Source organism: Homo sapiens, chromosome X (assembly GCF_000001405.40).
Source record: "Homo sapiens chromosome X, GRCh38.p14 Primary Assembly".
Classification (NCBI taxonomy): domain Eukaryota; kingdom Metazoa; phylum Chordata; class Mammalia; order Primates; family Hominidae; genus Homo; species Homo sapiens.
Window position 1 is genome coordinate 36036893 of NC_000023.11, and position 12600 is coordinate 36049492.

The window sequence follows — 12600 nt, forward strand, 5'->3', positions numbered from 1 at the left end:
CATTGTATAATCATTTTAGCTTTGTGTGTGAGAAACATCTCATAGCATATTATGATTAGTAGGCTTAAAAATGTTTAATCTTTTTATTACCTCTCTTTAAATCTCTGAAAATATGATAGAAAATACCAACTATTCTTTGCATTCTGAAATTTGTTTAGTAAAAATAATTGTTTTATTATGTATTTCTCTAGTTTCATCTCCATTTCTTCCATATTCTGGTTTGAAAGAAATAGCACAAAGGCTATTCCAGCTGAACCTACCATCCATTTTTCTGTTCAGAACTTCTCCTTTATGTGCCTGTCGACATTTATACTCAGATAAAATGGACTGGACTGGTCCATCTAGAAGGAAATAAAAAACATTTCCATTTGACTTTTCTTTCAATATGCGCTGGGCCCTAGCAGTCATATCTGTCGTTTCTTTTATTAGGCTCCCAACTTTACTCTTTGTTGTTGTTGTTGTTGTTGTTGTTGTTGTTGTTGTTGTTGGAGATGGAGTCTCGCCCTGTCGCCCAGGCTGGAGTGCAGTGGTGCGATCTCAGCTCACTGCAACATTTACTTCCCAGGTTCAAACGATTATTCTGCCTCAGGCTCCCGAGTAGCTGGGACTAGAGGCGCACTCCACCATGCCTGGCTAATACAACCTAACTCTTAAGAATCAAACATGCTTAAAATGCCTTTATAAATTACATCTCAGATGAGAGAGAAAACACTCTCAGCTTAAAAAGGGTATGATTGAATCTCCAATAGTCTGAAGTTATACAAAGAATCCCCTTCTCTATCACCCTAGAACCCTTTAAGAGGTCTGAAATTCTGAAATAATCTCAAAGTAGGCCTTTCAAAATCCAGAATTCAATAAATCTTAAAACCTTCCCTAACTCTGAAATTATTTTTTCTCCCCAAAACAAATTTAACCATATCAAATTTATGAAATGAAACCATTATTTCCCTATAGATTTGTAATGTTTTAAATACATACATTCTCTTATAGCTTATTTTATCAGCTCAAAGTATACATAATTTATTTAAATTTTTCACATAGTCTTTCCAGTACTCATTTGTCATTATTAGTAGGGAGCCCATTATTTTTCTATTCCTCCTCTCCTTTCTTCTCCAGCTGCCTCCCTTTTTCCAAGAACACTAGACTACTTACTTGATCAGGTAAAGGGCTTATTTGATTAAGTAATGGCCTTCAGTACAGAGAGCACTAGTATGGCTGATGATTTCAATGAGTTCATTGCTTTTGCTTCTAGCACTAAGTGCCACTTTTGAACATGGTCTTGCATCACCCAGTGCACTGTCATTTTCTGCTCTGAAGATACCCTTGATGGCCCCAATCTTTGCTAAGGGGCACTGGTGTCCCATTTGAGGGTTCTAAGATATCAGCTTGAAATCACAATCACTGGGTCACTCTTTTCTCTCTATCACACACTATTCTTGGAGATTTCGATGTGAAAGGGTATTGATCACTCTCTGTGATGGAAACTGTCCCCAGAAACTAGCTTTCAGCTTCCCGTGTTGAGCCCTGCTCTCTAACACAAACTATCTTTTCTCTTATTAAGCTATGGCATGGGAATTTCCTGTCCTTTCCTACCAGGTAAAATTGGCCAGTCAACCCTGGTAGTATTTCTTAAACTTAAAAATTTGGGATACAGCACATTCCTTTCATCTCAGGACCTCCTTTTCTCAGTAGTCCCCTGGGATCCTTATGGCAATGATCTATCCTCATCTTCATACTGCATATTTTAAAGGCCTGGGAAGCTTCTATTAAAACACAGAAAATACTTTTTTAAATGTTCAATTGCACTGCTTTCCCAGGGCATATTTATTTTCTCCAAATTATGAAAATCTACATTAAAGAGACTTGCTCCATTTCTAGTCAAGCTGTACTTTAAAATAGTTTTCTTTCAACAGCACCTCATTACATGTCTTAAGTTCTTCAGCAAGCTAAATCTTGTTTCTGGGTAGTTTATTCTGTCCCATTAAGTTGTAACATCATCGTACATTTTGAAATTTAGTAATAGTTCAGCTATGTAAATTTTTTGTGTGTTTTAACTAATTTAAAATACCCTTAAAATTTGTTTTTCATTAGATCGTCCTGGGACATACACAGCAGATATTCCTATGCTTTTAAATTATATTCCAGTTTGCTATAAAATATTACATCTTACTGGGGAAGTAAAATCACCAGAGTTATTGTTTGACCCTCCATTTATATTTTTCACTCCTGTTCCTTTGGATATAACAACTGTAATGGATATCAACATTTTACCTCAAAACTATTTCAGGTAAATACTCAATGTGAATTTACCACATTTTCTTTATGTGCTTTTTTGTTTGTTTCTGTGTTATATAAGAATTATATAAGAATGGCTTGTTTCTATAGTTGGAAAGAACTATTAAAATATTTAACCATACATTAAAATTTAACAAAAAAACCAAAAAATCTTTCTTAATTATCTCACAGTTAGTCATTGAATTTTCTTGTAAATTTTCTTTTGCTGTGTCTCTCTTCATGAAGTAATAAGCAAGCCTAAAAATTCAATATATTAGTTTTCTAGTGCTATGTGAAAAATTATCACAAACGTGGTGCCTTAAAACATGCATTTGATATCTCAAACGACATGAATTTGTTTATTATCTTGCAGTTTCTCTGACTTAGTAGTCCAGCTGTCTTAGCTGCATCCTCTGCTGAGTGTCTCAATAAGCAGAAGTCAAGGTGTTGGCTGCAGTGGCACTTTCACTTGAGGCTCAGTCTTCCTCCAAGCTCTCAAGTTGTTGACAGAATTGATTTCATGGTCCTTATAGAACTAAAGCATCATTTTTTTGCCTAGGGACACTCTCAGTCCACCCTCAAGTCCTAGCCATGTGGTCACATCCTCACAACATGGTGTACAACTAATTCAAGGCCAAAAGTATACCATCTCTCAGACTTCTCTGCTTCTGACTTTCAAACCCTCTTTTGTGATCTCAACTGATTATGTCAGACCCATCCATGATAATTTCCCTCTTGCTTTATTCAAAGTCAATTAATCAGAGACCTTAATTACACCTGAAAAGTCTATAAATATATATAGTGGGAGGCTATGTTGTTTATTGTAGAATGTTTAGCAGCATCCATAGCCTCTATCCAATAGTGTTCCTCCCCATGATATGACAGAAAATATGTATCTCTACACATGGCTACTTGTCTCCTGGGGAGCAAAATCACCCTCAGCTGAAAAGCACCAAAGTGAAATGATAGGAAGAGATATAACAGCATAACCAAAATAAAGCTGGGTAGCAGTATTAATTTCAAATGCAATAACCTCTATAGGTAAAGTGTGTTTTTAAGATATAAAAGTCATCAAATAATTATAAAAGATTAAATTCACCTGAAAGCCAACTGAATTCTAAAATTCTATGTATAATTAAAATAGTCTTAAAATGTGTCACCTCCAAATTAAAATTGGGAAAATATGACTAGTCCTTCATAACTCTAGGATATTAAAACATGTTTCAGAAGTGTTGATGAGTCCAGAGACAAGATATTTGAACAATATTTGTAACAAGCTTCATTCATTTAACATGTATAAATTGCACGTTACAATTAGAGAATACACATTTTTAAATCAATCATGAGACATTTATAGAAATTGACAATGTATGATTCTATAGTTATAATTCAAGTCTCAAAAATTTTTAAAGGGTTGACATAATATAGACTATGTTCTCCAAAAATAAATATAATAAACTAAAAGTCAATAAAGAAAAGATAACAAGATCCACCATGAGTTAGAAAATGTTAAAAAAATTCTACAGAGTGAAAGAAGAAATTATACTGAATTTCACAAATAAATAATAATTAAAATACTAGATTCCAAATCTTGAAAACATTCACTGAGGATCAGGAGTGTATAATACAATCAAGTACTATAAACACCATGTGGACATTAGAGCTGAAAACTAAACGTAAAACAGCTACTGGGACTTCTACTACTTCCTTTAGAAAAAGAATTAGGCCGGCATCATTGTTTACTTTATCTGTTTTATTAAATAAACATCAAAATTTCAGTGATTGAAGAAAAAACCTTAATAAAGTACAGCAAAATTATCCATACATGGAAATATATAACCTTAAATACTGATATTAGGAAAGAAAAAAATGATTGGAAATTTTAAACATTCAGCTTTATAAGTAAGATTACAAATAATAGCCTCTTAGACTAACTTATGGGGTGTAGAAGGTGAGATAAAATTATACACAGTAGAAATTAAAGGAATATAAAAATATATACAAAACAGAAACTCAGTGGAACCAAGTTTCTTCTTTGAAAGAGGAATACAATGGATACTAATACAGTGAAGTTGACAAGGAACAAAACAGAGAAGGGACAGTTAAATAATATTAGAAATAAGGAAGCATAACCATAAATCCAAAGAAAAAAATGAGATAATCAAAATACTATAAAGAGGTCTATTCTAATACATGTGAAAACTTAAATATGAAAGTTGTAGAAGTATATAATTTACTAAAAATATACTGGGAATAAGTAGAAAGCCTTTGGGTTAATACTTGAAACTTCACGAGAAAACATCCTCTGATGATTTTACAGTCAAGTTTTACTGAACTTTCAGGAAACAGATATATCAAACTATAGAATAATAATAATGCGGCCTAATTTGTTTTATGATCTCAGAAATTTCTATTATGAAGTCAGGAAATGACAGTATAGAAAAGCTGAATTATTGGCTAAACTGTGTTATGAGAACATACATATAATTATCCTTAAAGAATCTACCAGCACTTTGGGAGGCCGAGGCGGGCGGATCACGAGGTCACAAGATCGAGACCATTTTGGCTAACATGGTGAAACCCCATCTCTACTAAAAATATTAAAAATAATTAGCCGGGCATGGTGGCACATGCCTGTAATGCCAGCTACTTGGGAGGCTGAGGCCGGAGAATCTCTTGAACCTGGGCGGCAGAGGTTGCAGTGAGCCGAAATTGCGCCACTGCACTCCAGCCTGGGCAACAGAGCAAGACTCCATCTCAAAAAAAAAAAAAAAAAAAAGAATCAAACAACGTGTATGTAAGATAGATCATGACCAACTTGTTTGTATTCCAGTATTTCAAGGCTTGTCTATCATCAAAAAATCTAAAATGTCATTAAAGAGAATAATGATATGATCATTTTCATAGACTGAGAATAAAGGTATGTGATATAATTTTTAAATCATTCATGGAAAAACTCTCAACAAACAGTAATAAAATAGATATTCTTTAATTGTTTAAGGTTCCTATCATAAGCCTAGAGCAAATATTATTGAAACTGGAATATACATGAATTACCTTTTAACAAGAGAAAAGTCAACAATGCTTATTATCACTGCTTCCCTAAAGCATTTTAATAGAGAACCTAGCACATGGCAGGGGGATAAGAAAAACAAAATGTATAAGGATTAGGAAATAAAACTCAAAACTGTCATTATCTGTATATTAGATTATTTTTTCATATAGAAAATTCAAAGAATCTACAAGGAGATTTTTTAAAACTGGGAAGATCACTTATCAAAATAGGCAAATATAACTTAAATACTTAAAATTCAATATAATTTCAGCATATAATATATAGAGCACACAACTTTAAATTACTACTTATAATAACATCAAAAATTAAAAGATAATAGATTAAAAGATAATAGATAAATATAATAGATAAAGATATGAATGAGCTGTATAGAACTGTATAAAGAAAATTATAAAACTCAAGTTAAATACGCCTGTATTCAAATAAATAAATAATAAACTCAAATAAATACACCGATATTCATGGATTGGAATATTCGATGCTGTAAAAAAAGTTTTCCACAAATAAATTTACATATTTCATGTGACTTCAATAAAAATTCAACTAAAGTTTTCATGGAGATTGAAAAGTAAAATTTTAATTTTATATGGAAGGGTCAAGGATCAAGAACAGCTAAGCTCCCCAAGAGGAAGAAGAATAAGATGGGAAGTGCTTTCCATAGGGAACCTCAAGACTACACCAATATGATAGTGGTACAGGGGTAGATAAAATGACCAAGGAATAAAATAGCCTTAAAAAAGTTTCATAGATGAATAGTTATTGGATTTATGATGAAGATGTTATTGAAGTTCTTTGGAGATAGAAAGTTATTATTCAGTAAATGATGGAATGATTGAATATCTGTATGAAATATTCCAAATTGTATTGTATCTCTGCTTCACACAATTCACAAAAATTCATTACAAATGTATTAAAAGCTTAAATATGAAAGGCCAAATGTAGAAACTAAGTATTAAAAACATTTAAGTATTAATATATACAAATATATATAGTTGTATTAAAAACAAATAAGTATTAAAAACATTTAAGTCTCATGTCCTTTTAACATTTCAAAAGCAATCATGTCTTCCTGACAGTCTCCCAAAGTCTTAACTCATTCCAGCATTAACTCAAAAGTCCAAGTCCAAAGTCTCATCTGAGACAAGGTAAGTCCCTTCCACATATGAGCCTGTAAAATCTAAGACAAGATAGTCACTTCCAAGATACAATGAGGGTACAAGCACAGGGTAAATGTCCATATTCCAAATAGGAGAAATTGGCCAAAACAAAGGGGCCACAGGCCCCATGCAAGTCTGAAACCTAGCATGGCAGTCAAATCTTAAAGCTCCAAAATGATCTCCTTTGACTCTATGTCTCACATCCAAGGCATGCTGATGCAAAGGGTGGGCTCCCACACCCTTGGCCAGCTCTGTCCCTATGGCTCTGGAGGGTACAGCTGTTGTGGCTGCCTTCACAAGCTGATGTTGAGTGCAGGCAACTTTTCTAGGCACATGGTGCAAGCTGTTGGTGGTTCTACCTTTCTGGGGTCTGCAGGATGGTGGCCCTCTTATAGCTCAACTAGGCAGTGTTCCAGTGGAGACTCTGTGTGGCACATACAACCCTACATTTCCCTTCTGCACTGCTCTAGCAGAGGTTCTCCATGAGGACTCTGCCCCTGTAGCAGACTTTGGCCTGGACATCCAGGTGTTTCCATACATCCTCTGAAATCTAGGCAGAGGTTCCCAAAGCTCAACTCTTGTCTTCTGTGCACCTGCAGGCCCAACACGATGTGGAAGCCACCAAGGCTTGGGGTTTGCATTTTCTGAAGCAATGAGCTGAGCTGTACCTTGGCCCCTTTTAGCCACAGCTAGAGCTGGAGCGTCTGGGACACAGGGTACCAAGCCCTGAAGCTTCACAGAGCAGCAGGGCTCTGGGCACAGCCCAAAAAGCCATTTTTCCCTCCTAGGCCTCTGGCCCTGTGATGGGAGGGGCTGTTATGAAGATCTATGACATGCCCTGCAGACATTTTCCCCATTGTCTTGGCTCCTCATTATTTATGCAAATGTCTGCAGCTGGCTTGAATTCCTCTTCAGAAAAATGCTGTCTTCTTTTCTACCACATGGTCAGGCTGCAAATTTTCGAAACCTTTATGCTCTTATTCCCTTTGAAACATTAGTTCCAATTTCAAACCATCTCTTCGTGTATGCATACAACTGAATGCTTTCAGAATAAGCCTGGTTAAAACTTGAATGCTTTGCTGCTTAGAAATTTATTTGACCAGATACCCTAAATTATCTCCATCAAGTTCAAATTTCCACAGATCTCTAGGGCAAGGGCGACATGCCACCAGTCTCTTTGCTAAAGCATAGCATGAGTGACTTTTACTCCAGCTCCCAATAAGTTCCTCATCTCTATCTGAGACCACTTCAGCCTGGACTTCATTGTCCACATCACTATCATCATTTTGGTCAAAACCATTCAACAAGACTCTAGAAAGTTCCAAATTTTCACTCATCTTCCTGTCTTCTTCTGAGCCCTCCAAACTGTTTCAAACTCTGCCAGTTACCCAGTTCCAAAGTCACTTCCACATTCTCAGGTATCTTACAGCAATGCCCCACTACCTTAGTACCAATTCTATTATTTTTTATTTCTTTTTCAGATTGTTATCTGTTGGCATGTAGAAATGCTACTGATTTTTTATGTTTATTTTGTACCCTGCAACTTTACTGAATTGATCAGTTCTAATAGTTTTCTTGCAGAGTCTTTTTCAAATATAAGCTCATATAATCTACAAACAAGGATATTGTACTTCTTCCTTTCCAACTTGGATGCCCTTTATATCTTTCTCTTGTCTGATTGCTCTATCTAGAAATTCCATTACTATGTTGAATGACAGTAGTGAAAGTGAGCATCCTTGTTGTGTTCTAAATCTTAGAAGACATTTTTCAGTTTTTCTCTATTCTATGTGATATTAGCTGTTGGTCTGTCATACATCACTTTTATCATGCTGAGGTATGTTTCTCCTGTCCCCAGTGTTTTGAGGGTTTTTGTCCTGAAGGGGTAATGAAATTTATCAACTTGGTGTTCTACTCCGCTGTGGCTGTGCTGGTACCTCAGGTGCAAGACAAAGTCTCCTTTACTTTTTCTTCTGCTTTTCACAAGCAGAACAAGTTTTGCCCCATAGCCACCACAGCTAGTAATGTGCTGAATCTCACCTGAAGCCAGCAAGTCTCAGAGGGTCACCCAAGGCCCTCAATGTAGTACCTGGGTATTGCTGCTGGTTATTCAGGGTCCAAGGGGGCTCTTCAGTTAACAGGTGATGAATGCTGCCAGGACTGAGTACTTACAGACTCCATGGGGCTCGCTCAAAATGTCATTTACTTTGTTAGGTAATGTTCAACATCATCAAAACTTTGGGATTTGCAGTTCCTTTAAGACCTTATCTTATAAATAGACACTAACCTTTGTTGTTTAAACGGGAAATAGTAGTGGCTTCAATTAAATTGTGCTAGAAAGCAGTTTTAAATCAATAATCATTTTCTAATATATGAATTAATCTCTTAATTTTTCAACTTTGGAATTAATGTATAAAGGTATCAATTTAAAAGCTACTTCAACTCAAAAGTTGAGTCTTGCTAAATATGGTATAATGAAATGAATATGAGAGGTACTGAAGAAATAATGTAATGCAGTGTCCAAGTTATACATATGTAATAAAATCAACAGCATTAATCACTTATGCAAAGATAAGTTAATTAGCTAAGTAATAACTGAATTATTTTCAAACTGGATTTATAAATTACTTTCCATGTTTTTATTCAAGGTAGCGTATAGGTTTAACTAATACAATTTTAGATCTTTATTTTTTCTTATTAGCTAAATAGTTCTCATACTGATTAAAATAGCAAGGATATATAATTTCCATTTGATGATACCTCTTATCTGCCATAGATATGTAAGTTTTTACATATATAAGTAAACAAAGTAATATGATTAAATATTTATTGGTCACTAAAAATAATAAGTAGTAATTCAATTTTAAAGTGAATACTATTAATACATATTTTTATATTAAAAATAAACAGTTTGGAATGGCTATAAAAAGTATAAATGTATAATTAAGTATGTCAACATTAAGTGGAATTTTTGAATGGTAATGATTGAAAAACATTCATAATATATGTATATATGCGCTTAATAGTATCCAAATTTTCAAATATCTACCTACATGTATATGCATCTGTTATTATTATTCAGTCTATATGCATTAAGTTTGTACCTATTAAAGTGATAACTTTTGGTAAATTTTCATCAGAATACATTTAAAAACAGTAATTTCTATCATGATGGTGATTAAGAAATATTGTGTTTAATCAGGTGTCACATGTCTTTTTAATCCTTATAGAACAAAAGGAATATTTGATCATCTCAAGTGGTTCTTAGTTATCATCCATCTTATATTGTGATCAGAAAATAAGAGATGATACAAAGATATCTTTAATAATTAGGCACATGATTACAAATATTTCTTATTTTAATTTTCTTGAGGATTCAAAAAAATGAAATATACATTTAAAGCCAATGACTGGCAGGTATTTTGAGCTAATGAAACATTTTTTTTATTTTAAACAGAAATTCAACTCTATGTGTCCAGATTCCCACAGTAAGGCTTCTTGATGGTGAAGAGATTCACCCTCTTTCTGTGAAATTTCCAAAAGGCAGAGTCATCCCAGGCTCTCACAGTGGAATTAATAATAAGCTCACTTGCCACCTCAGTTTCAAGTCATCTAAACCTGTGTCATTTTTTACCAATCTTCTTTTCTGTGATGACAGAAAAAACTGGTAAGATATCTAAATGTACATTATTTTGTATCTGACATTAAAGAATAACATATTTATATTTTACACCATGGTAAAATGTTAAAAAGAGAGGGATCTAATATAATAACCTTGGACATAAAGATTATTTCTAAAATTCCAAATGTAAGTGCGCTCTCACAAAAAGCAGCATAATAGTGGCTACCAATTTATACTCTGGAGCTAGACTGCCTGGGGTCAAATCCAGGCTTTGTTAACATTACTTCTGAGACTCTCAGTTTCCTCATCTATGAAATGGAGCTAATAGCAGAACCTATCCCATCTGTCATCATGAAAAGTACAGTGAGTTAGTAATTATTGAGCAATTGGACAGGAAATAACCCAAAGGAAATGCTAAATAAGTGTCAACTGAAAGTGAGAAATATCAACATAATGATTTCCCTACAATATAGCTTTGTTGCATGTTACTTTAACGGGGTGAGGAGATTTCAAATACATCTTGGTAAAATGATATTTCTGGATATCTTATCTTATAGGACCAGAAATACCATTTTTACATCATATCCTGAAATAACTTGACTAACTAAATGGCAAGAGGTTGAAGTGTAGAGCTATAAAGTTTGTTTAAAAGGCTTATAATGAAAAGTAAAATTAGTGTCAGAGTATGTTCTCTATGTGCTCATTTATTAACATTTAGAGGCGTCATTTGTATATTTGTAGTTAAAGGACTGATTCATGTGTTTGGCATTAGGAGAGGGACATCTCTCTTCTTAATACATAGAAATATCTTCTTCTTAATACATCATATTTCACAACATCCCATTTCAATCATCAGCAGATTTGTGATAAATTAGAGCTATTGGAACTAATTTAGAAACTTTGCAAATCATAGATGAGCAACAAAAGACTTTTCTGTACACCCAGATAAACAAGGCACTAAGGCCATAAGCATTCCCCAGAGCCTTAATACTGGCAAATCCTTTTACTGGTGACTGGTTAACTCCTTATCTGGTTTTCTACAGTGAATATGATCAGATCCTCTTACTCTTCTCTACTCTCCAATGCTGTCCTTGCCTTTCTCTCTTTAGGCATACCATTTCTGATCTCATTGAGATAAATGAGGTCTTCCAGAAAGGAATTCCTCAAGAGCTTCCTTTTCATTTTAGAATTTCTATGAAATAAATTATACTCATTTATTATTGGTAATCTATTAGCATATATTTATTGTAGGCAAACCATGTGTGTACTCTGCCCAAGATTTAGGTAAAGAAAGGGGGCAAATCCTTGATGGATGTCAGTGTGTTAGGTTTTTTGCCCTATGTTGAAGCCTTTATTTGCATCTGGTTTGTTCATATGGAAGCCCATGGGCCTAATTAAAAATATAAGACTGATTTCTTGATTTTTTTGCTTTCTTTTACTTTGTAAGATTCTTTCATAATGTGGCTTCTCTTGGGGGCCAACATGCTTGGCTTTTAATTTTGTTTTCTTTAGATTTTGTCACATTTGGATTGGCCCAACCAGCTGGAAATCTGTGAATAATAGCAGGAATAAATATTTTCTGCTAATCTGTCTGCTTTCCCATCCACAATAATGTGCTCCCAGCTCAGAGATTGTACACCCTACTTGCGTCTTACCCAAATTCCCCAAAAAGTCTGGGGATAGAAGTTTTATTCAATTGGTGCAAAAGCAATTGCAGTTTTTGCCATTATTTTCAATGTCAGAAAAACCACAATTACTTTTGCATCAACCTAAATATATATCTGTGTGAGAAATGGTGATGTGAATAAGGAGTATTATAAACAGTAAAATGAAGCATGAGGTATGGAGGCTAAAGCAACCCATATTTTAATGGCATTTTTGGTGTTACGGTTTGGTGAATTCTGGCAAGACTTAGCTGGGGATGAAACTGAAAAGGCAGCAGGAACAGATTATGAAAGTCGTCCATGCTCTGCTTTGCTATCCATGAGTGAGAAATAGGGTGAGAACCAGGAGAGTGTGATGTTATGGATATCAAGTTTGAACAAATACAGGAAGCATAAGGTCTACAGCTATTAATTAATACAAGTCAGGTACTACTCATAGGCTAGATCTCATGGAATCCGCACAATAGTCCTGAGAAGTGGGGTTTTTTTTCTTTTTTTTTGTTTCTAGATTATCATCTCTGTTTTATAGAAGAGGAATCTAAGGCTCACAGTGTGACCTAACTTGTCCAAGCTCACTCAAACATTAAATGGGGGAGCCAAGAATGTAAACCATATTTTGGTTTCCAAAGATTTTCCACTTAGTCACCTTATTTTAAATACCATTTAGACTATAAATAATTATATAGAAATTTTTATAATAAGCATATGTTTTCGAGGGTTACACTACTATATGTCATATATAGATTTTCCAAAGAATAAGAGATGTTTTCTTTCTTTCTTACTCTTCTGCATGTATTTCTCTCTCTCACA

General features: G+C 34.3%; 1 protein-coding gene across 3 annotated transcripts in view; it reads left to right on the forward strand.

The window, feature by feature from the left end:
* CFAP47 (cilia and flagella associated protein 47) overlaps positions 1-12600 on the forward strand; it is a 465584-nt gene that overhangs the window by 117159 nt on the left and 335825 nt on the right. For all 3 annotated transcript variants that reach the window (NM_001304548.2, XM_017029452.2, XM_017029453.2), the window contains exons 25-26: positions 2092-2287; positions 9962-10171. In NM_001304548.2, coding sequence (NP_001291477.1) covers positions 2092-2287; positions 9962-10171 — 406 coding nt within the window. The remainder of the gene's footprint in view (positions 1-2091; positions 2288-9961; positions 10172-12600) is intronic.